General features: G+C 41.9%; 1 protein-coding gene across 28 annotated transcripts in view, besides 1 other annotated feature; it reads right to left on the reverse strand.

Moving 5' to 3' along the window:
• The window catches only part of USP44 (ubiquitin specific peptidase 44), a 35,122-nt gene extending 18,444 nt beyond the window's left edge, over positions 1 to 16,678 (reverse strand). For 5 of the 28 annotated variants that reach the window (NR_144947.2, NR_144945.2, NR_144946.2 and 2 more), the window contains exon 1: positions 13,768 to 13,799. The gene's annotated coding sequence lies outside the window, so the exon portion shown is untranslated. Of the gene's footprint in view, positions 1 to 123; positions 184 to 369; positions 424 to 12,979; positions 13,236 to 13,522; positions 13,800 to 14,048; positions 15,351 to 16,268 lie in introns of those variants that run through there. The other 23 variants (XR_944757.2, NM_032147.5, XM_005269172.2 and 20 more) reach the window with 10 other exon arrangements.
• Positions 7,608 to 8,107: an enhancer, noted in NCBI's record as "H3K27ac hESC enhancer chr12:95936387-95936886 (GRCh37/hg19 assembly coordinates)". NCBI's record gives its function as "activates a minimal SCP1, AML or CMV promoter by ChIP-STARR-seq in naive H9 embryonic stem cells {active_cell/tissue: H9 hESC(naive)}" and the evidence as "EXISTENCE:reporter gene assay evidence [ECO:0000049][PMID:30033119]".

Below are 22,103 nucleotides of genomic sequence, written 5' to 3' on the forward strand. Positions count from 1 at the left end.
GCAAGACCCAAATATATCTCACTAATATTTATAAACATTATGAGCCTTATGTGGAGTTAATAAAACATAATCAAAGATGAAAAGGTGAGTTTTAAGGCAGAAAAACATAGGTTTGAATTGTACCTTTGCCACACACTGTTAAATGTATGATTTTGAGCAAATGTTTTAACTTCTCTAAACCATCTGTAAAAGAGGGAAAATCATACCAACTTCAATTGAGTTGTTGAAGAACTGAGAGATAATATTTATCTGACACATGGTAAATGGTAGTTTTAATTGTATCTATAGTGAACGAATCTTATTACCCTATTTAAATAAATCATATTACCATTAAACTTATTTTTTTCCATTTGGTAAATCAATAATTACCTTTAATTCATGGCTCTATAACATACTCTGAGGCCGAACAGACTTGACAGTTGGCTTTAGGGAAAGAGAAAGACAGAAGAGGAGAATGTGCTTTTGTATTTGAATATTCTCAGAAACATACAAGGAAATAAAGAGAAAAAAAGGAAGAATATGAAGTGGGTGGCAATAAGCTTTTATTACATTCTAGCAGGCCTAAACCTATCTGAAATTATAAGCTTATTTTTTTAAAAAAGCTTATGTGATTTTTGACACAGAACTTGTTCCTTTATCAGTTAAAGTCAGGAACACTTCTGCTGTAAGTTATTTACATGTAATGAACAGAAATCTTATTTAAAAAGCCGTGATCACAAACACTTTTTTCATTGATTTAATACAAATCAAAGACAAATTTCAGGGTTTGGGTGGAGACCTAGTTACGGAACACTAAAAACACCCTATGTATCATGACCAAGGCATTAAATTTTTAGGGCAGTTGAAACTGTGAATTTCAACGGTACCTGCAAGTGCCACCTCCAGGCCTTAAGAAAACTGCAAAAGCAGTTGATTTTTGGTTCCTTCCCACCTCTTTTTGTAAAATCTCATATTCGTTCCTTAATTTTTAGGTATCAGGTACTGACCAGTCCCAAATCTCACATGTTCACATGTTTCTTTCTTTCCTTTTTTTTCCTTTTTTTTTTTTTTTTTTTTTGAGATAGGGTCTTGTTCTGTCACCTAAGCTGGACTGCAGTGGTGCAGTCTCAGCTCACTGCAACCTCCACCTCCCAGGTTCCAGCGATTCTCGCACCTCAGCATCCCCAGTAGCTGAGACCACAGGCATGTGCCATTACGCCTGGCTAATTTTTGTATTTTTGGTACAGACATAGTTTCACCATGTTGCCCAGGCTGGTCTTGAACTCCTGGCCTCAAGTGATCTACCCGCCTAACCCTCCCAAAGTGCTAGGATTACAAGCGTGAGCCACCGTGCCCAGCCCCCATTTCACACGTTTTAAGTGCACATTTTAAATTTACTCCTCTCTCTAAAAATTTCCAGAGGTTTAAAATCTGGTCAAATATGGTACTTTATTAGAACACCTAGGATTTGACAATAGTTGCTAATGGCAGAATTGAGACATCAGTGATTTATATATTCCACTATCCCATATCTTTCTGTACTGAGGCAAGAAACCTTAGAGTCATCCTTGACTCTCTCTCTCTAAATCAATCCTTCAGGAAAAATGATTGACTCTACCTCCAAAATATACTGAGAATCTGACTTACTTAGTGCCTCTACTGCCACCAGCCTGATCCAAGCTACAATCAAGTCTTACCGGGATTACTGCAGTAAGGCTCCCAGATGGTCTCTCCACTTCTGTCCTTACTGCCACCAACAGTCTACTCTCAACACACAGTAGCATGGTCTGCATCTAGACCTAAACAACCACTTTAGGGGATCCTTGCTGTGACCCTCCTCTATTAATGTGTAGTCAGCAAGGCCAAGGGCATGTGGCCACCTGAAGTCTGCACACACCAGCAACTCCCCTTCTAAGGCCACTCGCTGGTACCTGGGACTCAGAGAATTACTTGCCCTAATCATCCCCAAGCTTGCTTCTAGGGCCTATGAGCAACACAGAGCCACTGAAGAAATCTGTAGAGGAGAATGATATGATCAGATCTGTGGGTTACAGAGGGATCTGAATTACAAAGAGCTCTGGAGAAGGGACGAGTGATTAAGAGAGACTAGCAGTCCAGAAATTATAAGGAAATTAAAGCTGCAGGAGTATAGCAGTTTTGAAGAAGGGGGCAGAGGTAGAATTAGTGCTTAACAAACATTAGTTGAGAGAATTTACTCAATTTGGAGGTTAAGGGAAGGATCTAGGGCTCTGTATTACCTTTTATTCAAAATGATAAAATGAATACAGAGAAAATTTAGTTAAACATGTTTCTGGCAAACCATAGAAAATAATTTTTATATTATTTTATTTTTTGAGACAGAGTCTCACTCTGTCGCCCAGGCTGGAGTGCAGGGGTGCTATCTTAGCTCACTGCAACCTCCACCTCCTGGGTTCAAGCGATTCTCCTGCCTTAGCCTCCCGAGTAGCTGGGATTACAGGCACACGTCACCATGTCCAGCTAATTTTTGTATTTTTAGTAGAGACGGGGTTTCACCATGTTGGCCAGGCTAGTCTTGAGCTCCCGACCTCGTGACCTGCCTGCCTTGGCCTCCCAAAGTGCTGGGATTACAGTCATGAGCCACCACGCCAGGCCGAAAATAATTATTAGTTCAACATCCTTGCAGAGGTGAAGAAGGAAATGCCAGCAAAAAAGATCATTTCATTCCAAAATTTTAAAGACGTAGAATGAGTTAACACTTTCAGAAAAGGATCAGTAGGAAAAAGCCTGGTGAGAATACATTTATTCTGAGGTTACCTCTGGGTAATGGGACTGAAAATTACTGTACTTTCTTTATTAATCTATACTTTCAAAATTGTAAAAATAACATGTTTTAAATAAAAACAGCTCAGATAGTGTTAAGTATGTGCTAAATTGTACACTAACCTCTTTACTCCTTTCTCTACTCTGCAAATAAATTCCCTTGAATACAAAAAAAGTACCTGTTTCATTGAAGCTATTGCTAAAAAATCTATTTAGATAATAACAAAGTACTTGACCTTCAAAGGGAAGTGGCATCTATAATTAAACACATCATTCTATTTGATACAAAATTGTGAAAAGGGTGAAATCTTGATTAGATGTCATCTATCTGAGACATCATGGTAGAAGAGAGGGATTACAGTAAAACGGTGAGCGAGCACACACTGGAATCTAAATCCCCGAGTTTAACACTTGACAGGATTTACTATGTGACCATAAATTACGTGCTACATACCTCAGTTTTCTTATCTGTAAAGTAACAGTGGTAATAATACCAATAGGGTTGTTGAGGGAATTAACTTAGAACAACTCCTGACACTTAATAATATGGCCCTGAGTACATCTTAGCTGCCAATAGTAATAAAATAATAATAAATTATTATTATAAATGCTAGTTTCCTTCTAGTTGATCACTTTTAGCCAGGGATTCCTTCTTCTCAGCCAAATGTGTACTAAGCCCAACTAAGGTGCTAACAGATAATCAAGATGTTAGCTAAGAACTAAGGTCTGACCTCTCCCAGGGGAATTTGCATTTTAAAAGGGGGGGGTCTCTCAAAGATAAAATCTTTTTAAAAATAGACGTGAAACCAGAATAGTGGAATGACGGATCACGAGATTAATATTTTAGCTCAGGGGGCCCACTTACCCTGTCTACTTATGAAAGAAATCAGTAAGGGGTAGACGACAGAGGCAAGGGCACCGTGGAAAGCAGGAGCTGCAGAGCCAGGCTGCTGTCCCTAGAGATCTCCAGTAACTCAGACAGTAACTAGGGTATCCCCAAAGGGGTCTCATCACACAAAGATCTAAGAGCTTGGAGGAAAGAAAGGAGGATGGGAGTATTTTCTTGACACTTCCTATATTCCTCTACTGGGTTCAGAGCACCTCTTTTCATTTGCTAATCCACCGCTGTGAAGCTATGCATTCGCTCTGGCGTCAGCAGATTGGATGTATGATTTTTGGCAGTATATTCATTTTAAAGAGGTATTACCTGACAAAACATTTTTATATCCCTCATGCAGATTCTGACAAAATATTACCTGTACCAATATAATAGCACCTTACAAATAGGATGCTTGAAATGAAATCTATAAGGATTAAAACTATCTGTGCTATAATTCTCATGCATTTAAAAAATGTTTCACACTCCAAATTCAAATCAGTAGCTATCAAATGGCTTTTTTTTCTTTTTTTACCAGTGTGACTTGTCAATGAAATGGCTTTTTTTTTTGTTTTTTTTTTTGAGACGGAGTCTTGCTCTGTCAACCAGGCTGGAGTGCAGTGGCGCGATCTAGGCTCACTGCAAGCTCCGCCTCCTGGGTTCACACCATTCTCCTGCCTCAGCCTCCTGAGTAGCTGGGACTACAGGCGCCTGCCACCACACCCAGCTAATTTTTCTGTATTTGTAATAGAGACAGGGTTTCACCATGTTAGCCAGGATGGTCTCGATCTCCTGACCTTGTGATCTGCCCGCCTCGGCCTCCCAAAGTGCTGGGATTATAGGCATGAGTCACCGCGCCCGGCCCAATGAAATGGCTTTTTAAACACCAAGTATACTATTTTCATTTTTAAAGACAGATGTATTTACAAATATTCTAAAAGCTTTTTTGTCATTCTTCAGTGCAAAAAGACAATAAAACATTTAATTTGTTCAAACAAAGCCATTCAAGCTCTTCATACTTTTCACACCTATGACTGAGCATGCATTTTAAAAATTCCCTTTAGCAAATCTCTAAAGTTAAATAACTATATTTGACTTATTGAAAGCTAATTTTATGTAGAATTAGTATATCATTGAAGCACTTATTAAACAAAAAGCTAAAATGATTAGGAGAGAAATAGATGATCTTATAAGGGATTTTTAATCAACCGTTTATATCAAACTCCAAAATCAAATATCACAGGTAATATATTTAACTTGTTACAGTTCGACAGCATAAAACAGCTTATACTCACCACAGTGAGGACTCTCTGAAATTAATTTCTATTAACTCAAATTACAGCCCTTTGTAACCTACAACCCACAGTTTCGCATGTAGTGTAATACCTTCCTGTTGTATTTTTGTAGCTCTTCAAACCTCTTCTGATAATGAACTCATCCTACAGAGGTTCCAGCAGAGGTTTGATCATCAGTTCTAGACAGCTAACTACCCAGACTTTACCCTTAGCCCTAACCTTTCTGAACCAGTCTCAGGCACAACCCAAAGTCAGCTTACCTACGCAACTTACCTTCCCAAATTAGCTTTTTATCGGGTATTTTTCTCTAACAGATACTATATTATCATTCTAGGACCTAGGCTAGAAATCTTAAGGATTTTCTTTACTCCTCCCTTCCATCCATCTTTTTTTTTTTTTTTTTTGAGTGAAGTTTCAGTGTTTTTGCTCAGGCTGGAGTGCAATGGTGTGATCTTGGCTCACTGCAACCTCTGCCTCCTGGGTTCAAGTGATTCTCCTGCCTCAGCCTCCCGAGTAGCTGGGATTACAGGCACATGCCACCACGCAAGGCGAATTTTGTATTTTTAGTACAGATGGGGTTTCACCGTGTTGGCCAGGCTGGTCTCAAACTCCTGACCTCAGGTGATCTGACCACCCTCAGCCTCCCAAAGTGCTGGGATTAGAGGCGTGAGCCACCACACCCTGCTCTCCCTCCCATCTTTTTTACTACTGTATACTTAGGGTTATTGTTCACTAAGTCTCTATTACTTTTCATTTCCACAGCTATCACTCTAATGGATTTTATTATATTGTTCCTAGAGTACAATATTTTGGTAGCCTCCAAACTGGTCTCCCATCATCTGGATTGTCTCCTGCATACTATCCCACCAAATTAACCTTTGAGTTTGCTCTGAGCCTTTAACTCTTTTTTTGATGAAAAAATTATAATTTTAATTTCCTCATTATGAAAGCAAAACATATTCATTACACAAAAATTGGGAGAGGAAAAAAAATTCCCCCTGATCTCACCATACGGAAGTAGCAATTTAAAACATTTGTTTTGGCCAGGCGCAGTGGCTTACGCCTGTAATCCCAACACTTTGGGAGGCCAAGGCGGGCGGATCACGAGGTCAGGAGTTCAAGACCAGCCTGGTCAACATGGTGAAACCCCGTCTCTACTAAAAATACAAAAAATTAGCCGGGCATGGTGGCAGGTGCCTGTAATCCCAGCTGCTTGGGAGGCTGAGGCAGAATTGCTTGCACCTGGGAGACGGAGGTTGCAGTGAGCCGAGATGGCGCCACTACACTCCAGCCTGGGCGACAGAGTGAAACTCTGTTTCAAAAAATAATAATAATAATTAATTCTGGCTGGGCACAGTGGCTCATGCTCAGAATACAAAGTCCTAGCAATTTGGGAGGCCAAAGTGGGCAGACTGCTTGAGCTCAGGAGTTCAAGAGCAGCCTGCGCAACATAGTGAAACAAAATATGCAAAATTTACCTGGCACAGTTGCGTGTGCCTATAAGCCCAGCTACTCGGGGGGCTGAGGTGGGAGGATCACCTAAGCATGGGGAGGTCGAGGCTGCAGCGAGCCATGATGGTGCCACTGTACTGCAGCCTCAGCAAAAGAGCAAGACCCTGTCTCAAAAAAACAAAACAAAAAAAAGTATGCTGATATTCCGTTTCATTTAAAAAATGCTGATTGTGACAAATTTCATAATAGTTTGACAAATATTTCAATAAAAACGTATACATTTGTCAGTCTTGCTTTCAAAATCCTCCACAATCAGATTCTAACCTATCTTTGCCTCATGACCCTTCTACCTGTCATGTGCACGCCAGCCAAAAGTCAGCCCCAGCTAACTTCCAGAACTCATCTTCATCCTCCAAGGTCCAACTCCTTCATAAAATCTTTTTAGTCAAAAATAATATCATCTCCATTTTTTTTTTTTTTTTTTTTTTTGAGACAGGGTCTTGCTCTGTTGCCCGGGCTGGACAGCAGTGGTGTGATCTTGGCTCACTGCAACTTCCGTTGTTGCAGGCCCAAGTGATCCTCCCACTTCAGCCTCCCAAGTAGCTGGGATTACAGGCGTGTGACACCATGCCTGGCTAACTTTCATATTTTTTGTAGAGATGGGGTTTCATCATTTTGCCCAGGCTGGTCTCAAACTCCTGGCCTCAAGTGATCCTCCCACCTTGGCCTTCCAAAATGCTGGGATTATAGGCATGAGACACTATGCCCAGCCTTCTTTAATTTCTTAAAGGACTTTGGATTGTGCTAACATTATGCCAACTTGCCAAATGTGAATCCTTGTGTTATGTGTGCATACATCCTTACTTTGCCACCTAACTGTTGGGTAGGCTCCTTATGGTCAGGAAAAGACTATATCCCAAACATCATCTTTTAACCTAAAAATTCTCTCAGGGCTTTATGAAGATTGTATAGATGTACAGCTATATTTTTTCAGGCTACCAAATTCTTGGAGCAACCAACTAGCATTAACTGCAGGTCATCCTCTTTATGATATTTGAATCAGAGGTTGAAAGTAGGCCAGGCACAGTGGCTTACGCTTGTAATCCCAGCACTTTGGGAGGCCAAGGTGGGCAGATCACCTGAGGAGTTCAAGACCATCCTGGCCAACATGGTGAAAACCCTGTCTCTACTAAAAATACAAAAATTAGCCGGTTGTGGTGGTGGGCACCCATAATCCCAGCTACTCGGGAGGCTGAGGCAGGAGAATCACTTGAACCCTGGAGGCGGAGGTTGCAGTGAGCCACTGCACTCCAGCCTGGGTGACAGAGCAAGACTCCATCTCAAAAAAAAAACCAAAACACAAAAAAAAACAACCAGAGGTTGAAAATAGTAAGTCCTTGGCTGGGCATGGTGGCTCACCCTGTAATCCCAGCACTTTGGGAGGCTGAGGCAGGTGGATCATGAGGTCAGGAGATTGAGACCATCCTGTCTAACATGGTGAAACCCGTCTCTACTAAAAAATACAAAAAATTAGCCAGGTATGGTGGTGGGCGCCTGTAGTCCCAGCTACTCAGGAGGCTGAGGCAGGAGAATGGCGTGAACCCGGGAGGCGGAGCTTGCAGTAAGCCTAGATCGCACCACTGCACTCCAGCCTGGGTGACAGAAGGAGACTCTGTCTCAAAAAAAAAAAAGAAAGAAAATAGTAAGTCCTGCCGGGCACTGTGGCTCATGACTGTAATCCCAGCACTTTGGGAGGCTGAGGCAGGTGGATCACTTGAGGTCAGGAGTTCAAGACCAGCCTGGCCAACACGGTGAAATCCCGTCTCTACTAAAAATACAAAAATTAGCCGGGCGTGGTGGCACGCATCTGTAGTCCCAGCTACTCGGGAGGCTGAGTCAGGAGAATCACTTGAACCTGGGAGGCGGTGGTGGTTGCAGTGGGCCGAGATCATGCCACTGCAGCAGTCCAGTCTGGGAGACAGAGTAAGACTCTTTCTCAAAAAAAAAAAAAAAAAAAAAAGAAAAAGAAAAAGAAAATAGTAAGTCCCAAACTGGGCAACATAGCAAGACCCTGTCTCTAGAAAAAAAGAAGAAAAAAAGAGACAAGAAGGATGTTTTTCCAGCAATATTGTGAGATCTCATCTCTAGTCAAATAATTTAAAAAATCCACGCGTGGCAGTGCATGACTATAGTCCCCAGCTACTTGAAAGCTACAAGAATTACTGAAAAATCAGAAGGGTAGCTAAATTTTTTTTACTTCAAAAACTAACATACCAGGCCGGGCGCGGTGGCTCACGCCTGTAATCCCAGCACTTTGGGAGGCTGAGGCGGGCAGATCACGAGGTCAGGGGATTGAGACCATCCTGGCTAACACAGTGAAACCCTGTCTCTACAAAACATACAAAAAAATTAGCCAGGCGTAGTGGCGGGCGCCTGTAGTCCCAGCTACTCCGGAGGCTGAGGCAGAAGAATGGCGTGAAACCAGGAGGTGGAGCTTGCAGCGAGCCGAGATCGCGCCACTGCACTCCAGCCAGGGAGACAGAGGGAGACTGCATCTCAAAAAAAAAAAAAAAAAAAAAAAGAAAAAAACCCAAAACAAAACAAAAACAAACGGACATTCCACTGTAAATTTTAGTTATCTTTTTTTTTTTTTTTTTTTTTTCTGAGATGGAGTCTCGCTCTGTCGCCCAGGTTGGAGTGCAGTGGCACGATCTCGGCTCACTGCAAGCTCCACCTCCCGAGTTCACGCCATTCTCCTGCCTCAGCCTCCCAAGTAGCTGGGACTACAGGCGCCCGCCACCATGCCCGGCTAATTTTTTGTATTTTTTAGTAGAGACAGGGTTTCACTGTGTTAGCCAGGATGGTCTCGATCTCCTGACCTTGTGATCCACCCGCCTCGACCTCCCAAAGTGCTGGGAATACAGGTGTGAGCCACCGCGCCCAGCCAATTTTAGTTATCTTTGACATAATAAACTTTTCAGCCAGCCACTCTCTTTCAACCTCAGTTTATGAAGACACTTGGAAAGAAAGCATGGAAAGGGACGATACAGCTGTAAGCCCTGGAGGTTCTTACAAGAGGATATCAGGTACCAAAGGTCAATGGTATGAATAATGTAATATAGATCTAATTGGCGTAATCAGTAGCTCAATTTTCAGATCCCTTCTTTAAAAAAATATTTTAATGAAAGTCAGGAAGTTACCATGATGAATAAACACACAAAAAAGTCAAATTAAATTACTATTTAATAAAGTGACAGAATGAGGGAAATGGCAAAAATACATTCCTAAAAAGAATTAGTCTATACATCTGTATAGTGTGGAAAAATAAAGAAAAAAAGAATTAATCTATATGTTAAAATCTGAATAGACACTGAGATAACATTTTCATTAAGAAGCTTCCCCCCGCCATAGCTCATATTTAGTCAAATAATCATCATACAATATTTACATTTTATATGTCTTAGTGTCTTATAACCACAATTTTATCAATATTAAGGTATTTCTAAAATAGCCACGATTTTATAAATATTAAGATTGTTTAAAGTCTTGAAAGACCACAAGCTAAATCTAAACTTCTTAACATGGCACATAAAAGCCTTTGAACTTTGGAACAATATACACTTTTCTACTCTCATGTATGACTAACTACTTCCCAAACATCTTTTGTTAAGATGTTTTTAACAAATCTTATTGTGAATGTTTAATTTTTAAAACTCTTCATAATTGGGATATAAACGATTTTCATAAGAAATGGGCATTCATATTTTACAGGAACACATATACATTCTAACTCTATTAAAGAAAGAAGAAATATAAGTACCACTGGGCATAAAATAGAACACATTTAAAAATAAAAGTGTCACAGTAACCATCTCATTAAAAACAAAAACGAAAAAAAAAAAACTTGAAATCTCCCAGAGGGAGAATATGTTGACTATTTTAATGAAGATAATTTTTGTAACAAAACATTTTTCTTTAAACAGTAACAAACCAAACAGATCCTCTACAGGCTATTAAAAGTTGTATGATTTGTTATTTTCCATAATAAAAGATAGGAGGAAATGGTAATTTCGGTAGGAAGTAGGCCTTAGGAATTACTAACCACCACAATGCATTTGGATAAGAATGAAAACAACTTTATCCATAGTTTGCAGTAATTAGGGTAAATCTTACCCACTCGTATAAGCAATTTTCCATTTTCCATTTACTTCACGGAACCACCATAGTATTCTGTCCTCTTAAGAAATGTTTGTGAAACGCCAAGGGTCAAGCACAGTGCTTGGTTCACAGAAAGGGGTTCAATATTTTTGAATGAACAAATTACTGAGCGAATGAACACAATGGGCTCTCAAACCCTCCCCTACTCCCTCTTAGGTATGCTATTATGTCCATTATGTGCTTTGGCACCTCTCCATGTCAATCATGATGTATTTCCTTTCCTTTATCCCTAGAAAGGCCCTGGTTATTCTTTCTTCCTTTAGAGATCTAGAATCTATAATTACCCTGATCTTGCTTGGAACTCCTCATTAAACAATAAAGGACACCCTTTTCCCTTGGGCCTTCCTCATGTCTCTAACATGCCTCTCCTGAAGCAGAGATTGAATCTAGTTGAACACGTTGTAAGATAAAGCTCCTGAAAGCAGTTTCTGCCTCCGGGTTATTTGAATTTCTCACCCCCATCCCTACTTAACAAGTAATTTTGTTCCAAAACATTTATCATCAGTGTCACATCAACAAATTTACACATCAATCTACCGCAGCTAACTTCGTAACAATGGGAGAAACATTCAGAATAATACTGAGCATCCTACCAAGGGTCTGAAAAATTGAATTCAAATACTCTGTGTGTAAAATGCCTAGACTCTGTCATTCCAGCACATCTATGATCTGATCTAGCAAGTATATCGTTAGACTACAAATTACCTTTTTCCTATGACGTGTAAAACTCCATTAAAAATGAATTCTTCCTAATAAAGTTTTTTATGGCGTCTAAAATTGCTGTGAATGTTACACCTTTTACAATCACCTTTTAGCCAGAAAGCCATTATTTGTAGAATCCTCCTGTATTTCAGTTATTTGTCACCTATTTAGGCTGGGCCTAATAGCAAAACTGTCCCCCGTTACTGAATTCAGAGAATTATTCGGGCACACGATTTATTTCCTATCTTGATTAGACTCCTGAGCCCGTGCCCCAGCCTCTCGCTAATCTCCCTGGACCAGACAACTCCATTAGAATCTGGCACCCACGTTTGTTCTGCCTAACACTGCAGGAAGGACAGAGACTTCAAAGCACGTGTTTGTTTTTTTGTTTTGTTTTTGGCTACCAAGAAGCCAAATTTCTGTATCCTCTACCATTCAAAACCCCAATTCAACAAATTTACACGGGGGTTTTTCCTCCACGTTAAGCAGTTAGTCGGGTACTAGAGATACACATATAAAACACAGACTCTGCCCTCAAACAACCCAATGAGCAGAAAATTCTCTTAGGCACCAAAACGCTGTAATAGATTCAAGTGTGTAGAGGAGAAGTTTGGTAGAGTGGATATGACGCTTTCTTTCTTTGTAGTACAGAAAAGATAAATCTGTAGAAAAGGGAGAAAGACAACTGGGTAGAAAATTTATTTCAAATATCTAACCCAAATCTTCAACAGATTTTCCATTTTAAATATTCCAAAAAGTGTACCATTGTATATTATACTAAATGCAGGTTCATTTATCACTTAAAAATTTTTAAGCTAAAAAATCTCAAACAATTAACATTTGGGAAGAAAAACAGGACTGATACACAAAGTAGTCAAAATATTTCAGCTTTCTAAACTGTATGCACTGGACTAACTGTTCAATATTAGAATATCTCTACATTTGAATTTGGATAGCCCACAGTGATAAATACTGGACTGAAAAATCTGACATCGAACATATGCAAAACTAATGGCTACTATGAAAAAAGATAGAATGGGGAGAGAAAACTTGAATGTGCCAAAACATTTAAACGCTCTTTAAAATATCCTGAGATGCTAAATTAAGGACAAAACGATTAGAGTTCCAAGAATACAAATTTTCATCTCTTTCAAGATTCAACTGAATATTGAATCTCATTGAGATTATGAAATATTCTCTAAGCATGTGCTTAACTTCTATTTGGCTTTCCGCATTTCACCACAGTGAACAGCCCATTCTTTTTCCTTGTTTACACCAAATGCTCGTTTTGAACACAACTCAAAATGGAATTCCAGGCCCAAAAGTCACCACCCCTACTTTCACCCCCACAGGCAGCTACTTAACAGATAAGGAATTCAAGTGCAGGACCTGAAGGTCTTATTTCCATGCAAATTTCACAATCCCCGTTACTTGCCCAGATACAACAATTAAAGCTTAAAAGGTGGCGGGAGTGGGGGACTTGAGGACTGGTCTGAGGAGAAAGTGAATCTCCCAAGGGTTCCTAAATGGTTTTGCTTCCAGTATAAAAACTGCGAGCTACCAGTAGAATTTAACAACAGCTCAACCTTGCATTTGGAACAGTTACTATATAGTTCACTTTCTTTTTTCATGGGGGCGGGGTATGGTGTCTTACCTACTCTTAAATTTGAACGTATTAACAGGTTCCCCTCCGCGCACACTGACATATTTCTTATCCCCCATAATGAATTCAGCCATATGGCATTCTTTCCCATCGAAGGCCATCGGGAATGGCTTTAGGAAGCTGATTTTCAAGCTTTAAGCGGCAGCAGGTGCCGGCAGCGCGGGGACCGATCGATGGAGAGAAGGCGGGCAAGACGCCGGGAAGCGCATTCCTCCTCAACCGAGTGCCACAACCGCCCTCCCGAAGTGCCCCGGGGCTTCGAGCATCACCTCGCGGTAATCCGGGAGGGTGGAGGGATGCGGCTGGACCCGGGCGTTGCGTGCTCCACACAGCGCCCAGCCCGTGCCAGCCCCGCGCCCACCTCTCCACGACGCTCGTGCCGGGATCAGCGCGAAGCCCCTTCCAGTCCCCGAAGCCCTCGCCCGCGCCCGTTCTCCCCCAGCTCGCCCCCTCCAGCCCGCTGCGCCTTGCCGCAGCATCTCCGGGCACTCTGAGGCTGCCGCCGGGACAGGGTCGGAGCGCCGCAGAACCCACCGAAACTTCCCAGGGGGGCAATTCAAAATTCGCCGGACGCGTCGCCGCCGCGCGCCCCTCGGCTCATTCCCTTCCGCGCGCCCGCAGCCCCAGGCTCTCCCTCTCTCAGGACCCCCCAGCGCCCTGCGCGGCGAGAATAGGCCCCCAGGTGCCTCCCGGCCCCGGGGGCTGCCGTCGCACGTCCGCTCCCGCAGGGGTCCTCACTCCGCCAATCGCCGCGGCCGCGCGCCCTCGCGCACACTCACCAGCCCGAGCCGGGGCGGCCATCTTAGCGCTCACCCCGGCCCCCCGCCCCCCGGTTCGGCGGCCGCGACGACCCGGTGCGGCGGCTACGACAGCCGTGACGCGCAGCAGGCCCCGCCCCCTCCCACAGCCCCACCCCTGCGCCGGCTCTTCGCGGGCACCGAGAACCTGCCGGTGGCCGCCTTCCGCGCCTCGTGGGGGGGTCGGGGCCACGGACGGTCCCCGGCGCCGCAAGTGGGTCTGCGCGAACAACAAGCACTGCCTCCCCGGGCGGGCTTCGCACCTGTAGTGCCGTCGGGACACGGGAGGGTAAACCCAGCGTGTCCTGTGTGCCTGTGAGCCGCAGAATCATCCACGGACGTCGTTAGTCCTTCCTGGAATTTCTGCGATTTACACAACGTCGAATTGTTTGGCAGAAACGCGTGGCAAACTCCGTTATCTTTAAAACCTTCCCCAATTCACTGGCATAGAAATTCTTAAAGAAAACGTTTCCTTCTTGAAGCGACCCCTGGGTGTAACTTCAGTGGCGATGACGGCTGTGAATTGGGTTTTTTCGCACCGCAGAAGGGCGAGAGAGGTTCCAGAACGGGCACAGGAAGGGAACCGCTATCTAGAACTGCCTAACCCGAAATTGCCCATTTAAATAATGAAGTACATACCGAAAAGGAAAAGGAGGGGAAATCTGGAAAACAGGAAAGTCAAGGCTAAGGTACCTGAAAATTAACCCATTAATATTTATTGGATTCTTTGTGTTCAACTCTGAGCCAGATTGTTGTTTTTAACTGAACCTATACTCAATGACAAAGCAGTTCTACTTTGGCCACCCTGTGGAGTGTACTGAAAATTTAAAAACTCTCCAAGGAGAGCTTAAAAAGAAGACAAACATGCAAAGTTAACAATACATCAATGCAGTGCAAAATCTTGCAATATGTAAGACAAGGTATAAAATTGTTCCTATCTTTTCATCATCAGTTTTATTCTGGGGAGTATGTTTCAGTGGTATGACCTGAATAAAGAAATGAGTGCACAAAGGTATTCACAGCATATTATCCAAACACCGTAAAAGGCAAGAAGGAGCGGCACAGGATTCTAACTAACAGGAAATGGCTAATTAAGGTCTGACATAGAGGCCGGGCGCAGTGGCTCACGCCTGTAATCACAGCACTTTGGGAGGCCAAGGCGGGTGGATCACCTGAGGTCAGGAGTTCGAGAGCAGCCTGGCCAACATAGTGAAACCCTGTCTCTACTAAAAATACAAAAATTATCCGGGCCTGGTGGCGGGCACCTGTAATCCCAGCTACTCGGTAGGCTGAGACAGGACAATCGCTTGAACCCAGGAGGCGGAGGTTGTGGTGAGCCTAGATCCACAATTGCACTCAAGCCTGGGCAGCAACAAGAGCGAAACTCCGTCTCAGAAAAAAAAAAAAAAAAAAAAAATCTGATATAACACAGGAAGTTCTTATGTTAACAAAATAGATACAAAATAGCAACAATGTCTAATCAATTCATGTTTGAAAAAAATACCAAATATGTACATTAAGGTTACAACTGCATAAAATGTAGTCATGCAAATAAAGATTAAAGGGATGAATTTGCATAGTTTAATACTCATTTTGTTCTTTTTTCTATATATTTAAGTGCATAATAATTCTGATTCAATAATGACCCCAGTGCACTTCTCCCACTCAAAACATCTAACCTCTATGTTGTACTTTTGCCCACCACCTGAATTTCTCAAATGCATTAAAAGCATTACATGAGGGCATCTCTTAAGATGAAATATTTAAAATTTAAGTATTTCTGGCATGCAATATGGTTTTTCCTGTAATTCCTTGAAAGCAAAATATTAATAATAGAAAAATCAAAACTCTTGCTTTCCTATTATAATGCCATAAAACCATTCTGGAAGGTCGTTTGGGAGATAGGAAGAGTCTTAGTTGCCTCCCTCTGATCTAGTAATTGGGCGGGGTCTTTTAAGGACTAAAATGATGTGAATAAATGAAGAGAAAAAGTGAAATGGGAAGAAAAGCAAAGGCAAGCTGTGTAAGGCATAGGTGGAGAGTGCTGAATAGTGTCTTCAATAAAATGCCTTAATACAATGATGTAAGCTAGGAAGAGGTGCGGAGTGGGAAGGGAAGAGGCTGGAGACAAATTCTCATTACTAGTGTTAGTAATTAAAGAGCAGATGTTTGTAGTTTAGCTTTTTCTTCATACTTATTACTACTTATTCAACTTTGAAATTTCCTCAGCTACCATTTTATTCATGATCTTCACTATCTAGGCCTAAATTATAGCATGCTCTAGCTCATTTCCTGAGCTCCAGAACCTCTCTATTGCAATTTTATTTTTACATAGCAATCATAGTCATTCTTCTCCTTAAATTTTCCTATTTGTTTTTTAACCCGTCTCATCGAATCTAAGCTTTTTACTGTAACATTAAAAAAAAGAAAAGAAAAAAGCCTCCTTCCCTGCCCACCTTCATCAATGATGTCCCCAAACTTACCTATTAAAACCTCAAAATCAGTCTTTCCCCAGGTCGGCCTTTGGATAACTCAGAGGTCAGTCCCTGCAGGATCGCCCAGTTTCCATCAGGGCAAATGCTGATCTCCTAAGTGAAAAGTCCTGGCGGCTGCCTCCAGTGCCCCCCTGCAAATCATTACAAATCAACCTCTTTCAGGTTTGGCTTAAACTCTCACCTCCTGGAAACTGCTTTCCTGAAGTCACAAACCGGGCGTGCAGATCCCCATCCCCCACCCCCAGCAGTGCATTATTATGCAGTCACTGCTTTTGTTCCGAGTTCTGAGCCTGCTTCTATTTGCATCGTAACCTCTTTGGGGGCCGGGACTGTGCACTTGCTCCCTTTCTATACCTCTCCACAGTTCCTAGTACCGGCCAAAAACACTGCTGAAATGCCTAATGAATCAACCAGAAGTTCCTTAGCATAATATAGGAGCGTGGAAGTGATGTTTAGGGGGGCTTCCCTTGCTTCCCTGATCCCCAGATGGAGAGAAATGGCAATTTGCCCTTCCAAGGTAAGCAGTTTCCTAAACCAGATAAAATTTTAACGATTCTGAAACCTAATGGATGTGTAACTACTCAATTCTGAGTTACTACACAAACAGTTTTGCCCTTTGTATCCTGAGAGAAAAGTACGAATGAATTAAAAGAAGACAAAACATTGTAAATTTCATAAACCTCAGAGTGGCTTTTTATGCTTTATGTCGATTTTTAGAATTTCCTAGTCCAGTCTTTCATGAATCGAAGAATATTTCAGGAATCATAATTGCAGACTAAAGAATTTATGAGCTTGTGAAATTTTAGGAATCACTTTTAAGACTTTTCAGAGTTTTACAGACAATGCTCTTACCTAATAACTAATATTCGCTTAACATTTTTTTCAACACCTAAATGCCTGGCACCATGCTAAGCATTGAGATATTCATAGCATTCATTTCAATGGTTATGAGGAGATGAAGGATTGAGCAGAGGAAGTGGGTAAAGAAACGCTAAATAACTCAGCCATAAACTTTTGATTAAGGTGTAGCAACACACTTCAGTTGAACTTTTTAAATGAGAGGAACCCAAACGACCTTAAATTTCTGGCAAATATGAAAGAAAGGAGTTGAGAAAAAAGGAGTATGGAAAAAAGAGCAGCAGATGTAAGCTATGGCCTTAGTGGAGGAAAGTGAGTAGAAGGGGCTTTAGAATTCGCCTTTTTTCTTTAATTCTAAGAATGAGGTTGGTAGCAGGTAAGGAAGGTAAATGCCAGCTGAGTAGATGGTACCAAAGTTGATTTGTTTTTAAAAGACCATTGTTTATTTGGTGGTCTGTCAGGGAAACTTGTACCTTGCAGGTGAATTTCCAACATAGGCCTACTGGAAACTGAAACCCTGAGCCCCAGGGTTTAGGTATAAATGGAAGCAAAATTGTGAAGTGAGTCCATTTCTCCCCCTTTTTAAACATAAACATCCACTCCACCTCCACCCTATACTCAGTTTTTCTTTTCTTTTCTTTTCTTTTTTTTTTTTTTTTTGAGACAGAGTCTCGCTCTGTCACCCAGGTTGGAGTGCCGTGGCGTGATCTCGGCTCACTGCAACCTCCGCCTCCCGGGTTCAAGCAGTTCCCCTGCCTCAGCCTCCTGAGTACCTGGGATTACAGGTATGCACCACCACGCCTGGTTAATTTTTGTATTTTTAGTAGAGACGGGGTTTCACCATGTTGGTCAGGCTGGTCTCCAACTCCTGACCTCGTGATCTGCCCGCCTCGGCCTCCCCAGGTGCTGGGATTACAGGCGTGAGCCACCACGCCTGGCCCACTCTATACTCACTTTTACAGGGATCCTCAGGATGCTGTGTCCAGGGCTTTACTGCAGTCTGTCTCTCTTCCTTCCCATCAAAACTCTTCCCATTTTGTTCAGGACAGGTACACCAACCTTTCATTCTCTCTTTTTATTTATTTTTAAAATGGAGACAGGGTTTTGTCACCAGGCTGGAGTGCAGTAGCGTGATCATGGCTCACTGCAGCCTTGACCTCTCAGGCTCAAGCAATCTTCCCACCTCAGCTTCCTGTGTAACTGGGACCACAGGCATGCGACACAACTTCTGCTAATTGATTTTTTGTAGAGATGTGGGGGTGGAGGGGGGTTCTCCCTATGCTACCCAGGCTGGTCTCAAACTCCTGGCCTCAAGCAATCCTTGTGCCCCGGCCTCCCAAAGTGCTGGGGTTACGAGCATGAGCCACCATGCCTGGCCCCAACCTGTCATTATCTAAGGAGCTCAGTTATGAAGTAAAGTTATCTACTTTGTATTATTAGTGTTTAGTATTTTTTTTTCCATTTCTCTCTCAGACTGTTCTACCTCCTGTAGACACCCAGAGTTTGGAATTTCTAAAATGACATTTTAAACATTGTGACAGATCAGTGGGATAGATATTTTGCTAAGCCAAGGTACTTCCTTTCCAAGGATAAGCTATGGGAGGTGATGACAGCAGAATACACACACACACACACACACACAATACACGCAGACACACATATATATACTCATATGCACATATATAATTAGAACTCATTTAGCTATAATAACAATTTGTCCATCTAGTTATTTGCAATCCTTTCAGGATTTTTAAAATTTCTATCTCATTTGTAGAGTTTGGAAAATAGTATCTGTCCTATCTTCTTCACAATAATGTTTTAAGGACCAAATGAGGTTTTGTCCATGGAACCTGCCTAAACTGTAAGGAGAAAAGTCAGTGTGTTTATCATTATTTCTCTCTTAGGTTTACTATTACCCTGTAAAGTTCTTTGAAGTCAGAAACAGACTTTTGTTCATATTTACAACCCCTATAGCAATTAATACAGAACCTCACTCAGGATAGATAAGCAGTATTCCCTTAAATCAAGTTTTACTTCTGTACTAAAGTAATAGTCAATTCAAGGACAAGTGCTATAAAGGTTAAAATTAATTCTATTACTCTGAGAAACATGGCAATACTATTTTAGTCTTCCTCTCTCATAGTAGGGAGGGAAAGGATCTGGAAAGGCAGAGGGAGAGAGGGGGAGAAAAGAAAAGGCACTACAGGTGGAAATTTCAACTCTTAAAGTTTTAGTAAACCATGCCAAAAAGATACTAGTAACTTTTCATGAGGAAGAGATTATTGGGGTACCCAAGTTTTGTTTTTATACTCTATACATGTTTTTAAACCCATTTCTTTTTTTTAAAAAAAAATAATAGAATGAGGAAAGTGTAGATGGATAACTGTAGCTATTTGTATAATTATTTACATCTTGCCAAACCATTTGGAAATTGAAATCCTGCAGTGTCGCTCCTGGGTTGTAAAAGATAAGAAAAGTAAATAGAAGGCCCCCTTAATACAACGTGATATTGCATCATTTAAAAGAAACCACAAACTGTCTATTCAGGATGTATGCATACAATAAAAAGAGCTAACAATTCTTCATGTGTAAGAGCTAGGATGATCAACCTGCTTTTCTCTGCCATCTTAAGGTTGCTTCTTTTTAGGCCAAGGTACCTCGTGGTAGCAATCATTGATTTAGTCATCTGTAAATAGTGTTTGTAAGCCTCTTTTCCTTAGCTAACCAGTGATTAACTCCTAGAAAAACCACATTTTTTTTCCTGCCACCCAGGAGTGCAGTGGCGTGATCTCAGCTCACTGCAGCCTTGACCTACCAGGCTCAAGCAATCCTCACACCTGTGCCTCCCAAGTAGCTGGGACTACAGGCACATGCCACTACACCCAGCTAATTTTTGTATTTTTTGTAGAGATGGGGTTTCACTATGTTGTCCAGGCTGGTCTTGGACTCTTGAGCTCAAATGATCCACCCACCTGGACTTCCCAAAGTGCTGGGATTACAGGTGTGAGCCACTGCACCCAGCCTTGAAAACCACATTTCTGAGGGAAACTCTTTGGGGGAAGGGAGGTTGTGTGTAAGTTAGATAGTCCCTATCTATTTCATTTTATTTTTGGTTTTGAAATTAGTGTTTAAAGAATTAAGCATAATGAATACTTGATATTAATTTCTTGGATGTTTTTTGAGATGGAGTCTCACTCTTGTCACCCAGGCTGGAGTGCAATGACACAATCTCGGCTCACTGCAACCTTCGCCTCCTGGGTTCACGTGATTCTCCTGCCTCAGCCTCCTGAGTAGCTGAGATTACAGGCACCTGCCACCACACCCGGCTAATTTTTTTATTTTTAGTAGAGACGGGGTTTCACCATGTTGGCCAGACTGGTCGCAAACTCCTGACCTCAGGTGATTCACCCGCCTCGGCCTCCCAAAGTGCTGGAATTATAGGTGTGAGCCACTGTGTCTGGTCCTTGGATTTTTTTAAATGTCCTAAATATGCGGCTCCTAATCTTTAGAAAAATAATGAAGGATGAGCCAAGCATTGTAGGGGGGGGAAAAAAAGCTTGAAATATGACATGTAATGGGATGTTTTTCACAAGTATAAAGTTTTATTTTGTCTGTTTGGATGAAAACTCCAAAATGCCACAGGAATGATCACAGAAGGAAATTTATATAAATTTACCATTAAATGCCTATGAAATAATCTCTTCTTAAAAATCAATGGTAGTAATAAAGGATGACTTAAACATTTATTTGCTTATGCCCATAACATTGTATTAAATTTAAGATAAAAGAGCCGGGTGCAGTGGCTCACGCCTGTAATCCCAGCACTTTGGGAGGCTGAGGAAGGTGGATCACCTGAGGTCAGGAGTTCCAGACAAGCCTGGCCAACCTGGCGAAACACCGTCTCTACTAAAAATACAAAAATTAGCTGGGTGTGGTGGTGGGTGCTTGTAATCCCAGCTACTCGGAAGGCTGAGACAGGAAAATCACTTGAACCTGGGAGGCAGAGGTTGCAGTGAGCCGAGATCATGCTACTGTACTCCAGCCTGGGCGACAAGAGCAAAACTCTGTCTCAAAAAAAAAAAAAATTTTTTTAAGACAAAAATGTGGTCTTATCATTAGTCACAAAATTAAACTGTGTAAGACAATTATAATTCTGACTAGCCTCATAGTGAATAATTTTCCCCTTATTGTTTTGTTAAATATCAGTCTACAGGTAATTAAGACTAGACTTATTCCTACAAGAGAACCTACGCAGTAGGCCTTTGTTGTGTTGGTGTGATGGGATGCTAGGAGAGACCAAATGTCCCTGGCCCAGTTTTTGGGGTCAAAAATGCCCATATTACTAAACTACTTAAGGTCCTAGGGTAAAATGAAAATCTGGGAGGAGATAATTTGGTAAATCCTTATTAGTGCTAATACCTTAGTACAAATTAATGAGTTAGGTAAGTTTGTCATGTCCTGAAGAAAGTTGGAAGCATGTTGTTACATTGTGATTGGGAGGGAGAGGGAAGGGTGAGAAAGGTGTATGGGTAGTAGGCTGCCTGTGGGAGGCCAGATCAAGATTGGGGCACTCACTGCGTCTTTGGGGAAATACAAAGAGGGATCTCAGTGAGATGCAAAACTTTTAATCTAGGACTACCTATAATCAAGAAGTTAAACATTTTATTTTATTTTTATTTTTTGAGACAGTCTCACTCTGTCGCCTAGGCTGGAGTGCAATGGTGTGATCTCGGCTCACTGCAACCTCCACCTCCTGGGTTCAAGCGATTCTTCTGCCTCAGCTTCCCGAGTAGCTGGGACTACAGGTGCACCCCAACATGCCCAGCTAATTTTTGTATTTGTTTGTTTGTTTGTTTTGAGACGGAGTCTTGTTCTGTCACCCATGCTGGAGTACAGTGGTGCGATCTCGGCTCACTGCAACCTCTACCTCCCAGGTTCAAGCGATTCTCGTGCGTCAGCCTCCTG

Source organism: Homo sapiens, chromosome 12 (genome assembly GCF_000001405.40).
Source record: "Homo sapiens chromosome 12, GRCh38.p14 Primary Assembly".
In the NCBI taxonomy this organism is placed as follows: domain Eukaryota; kingdom Metazoa; phylum Chordata; class Mammalia; order Primates; family Hominidae; genus Homo; species Homo sapiens.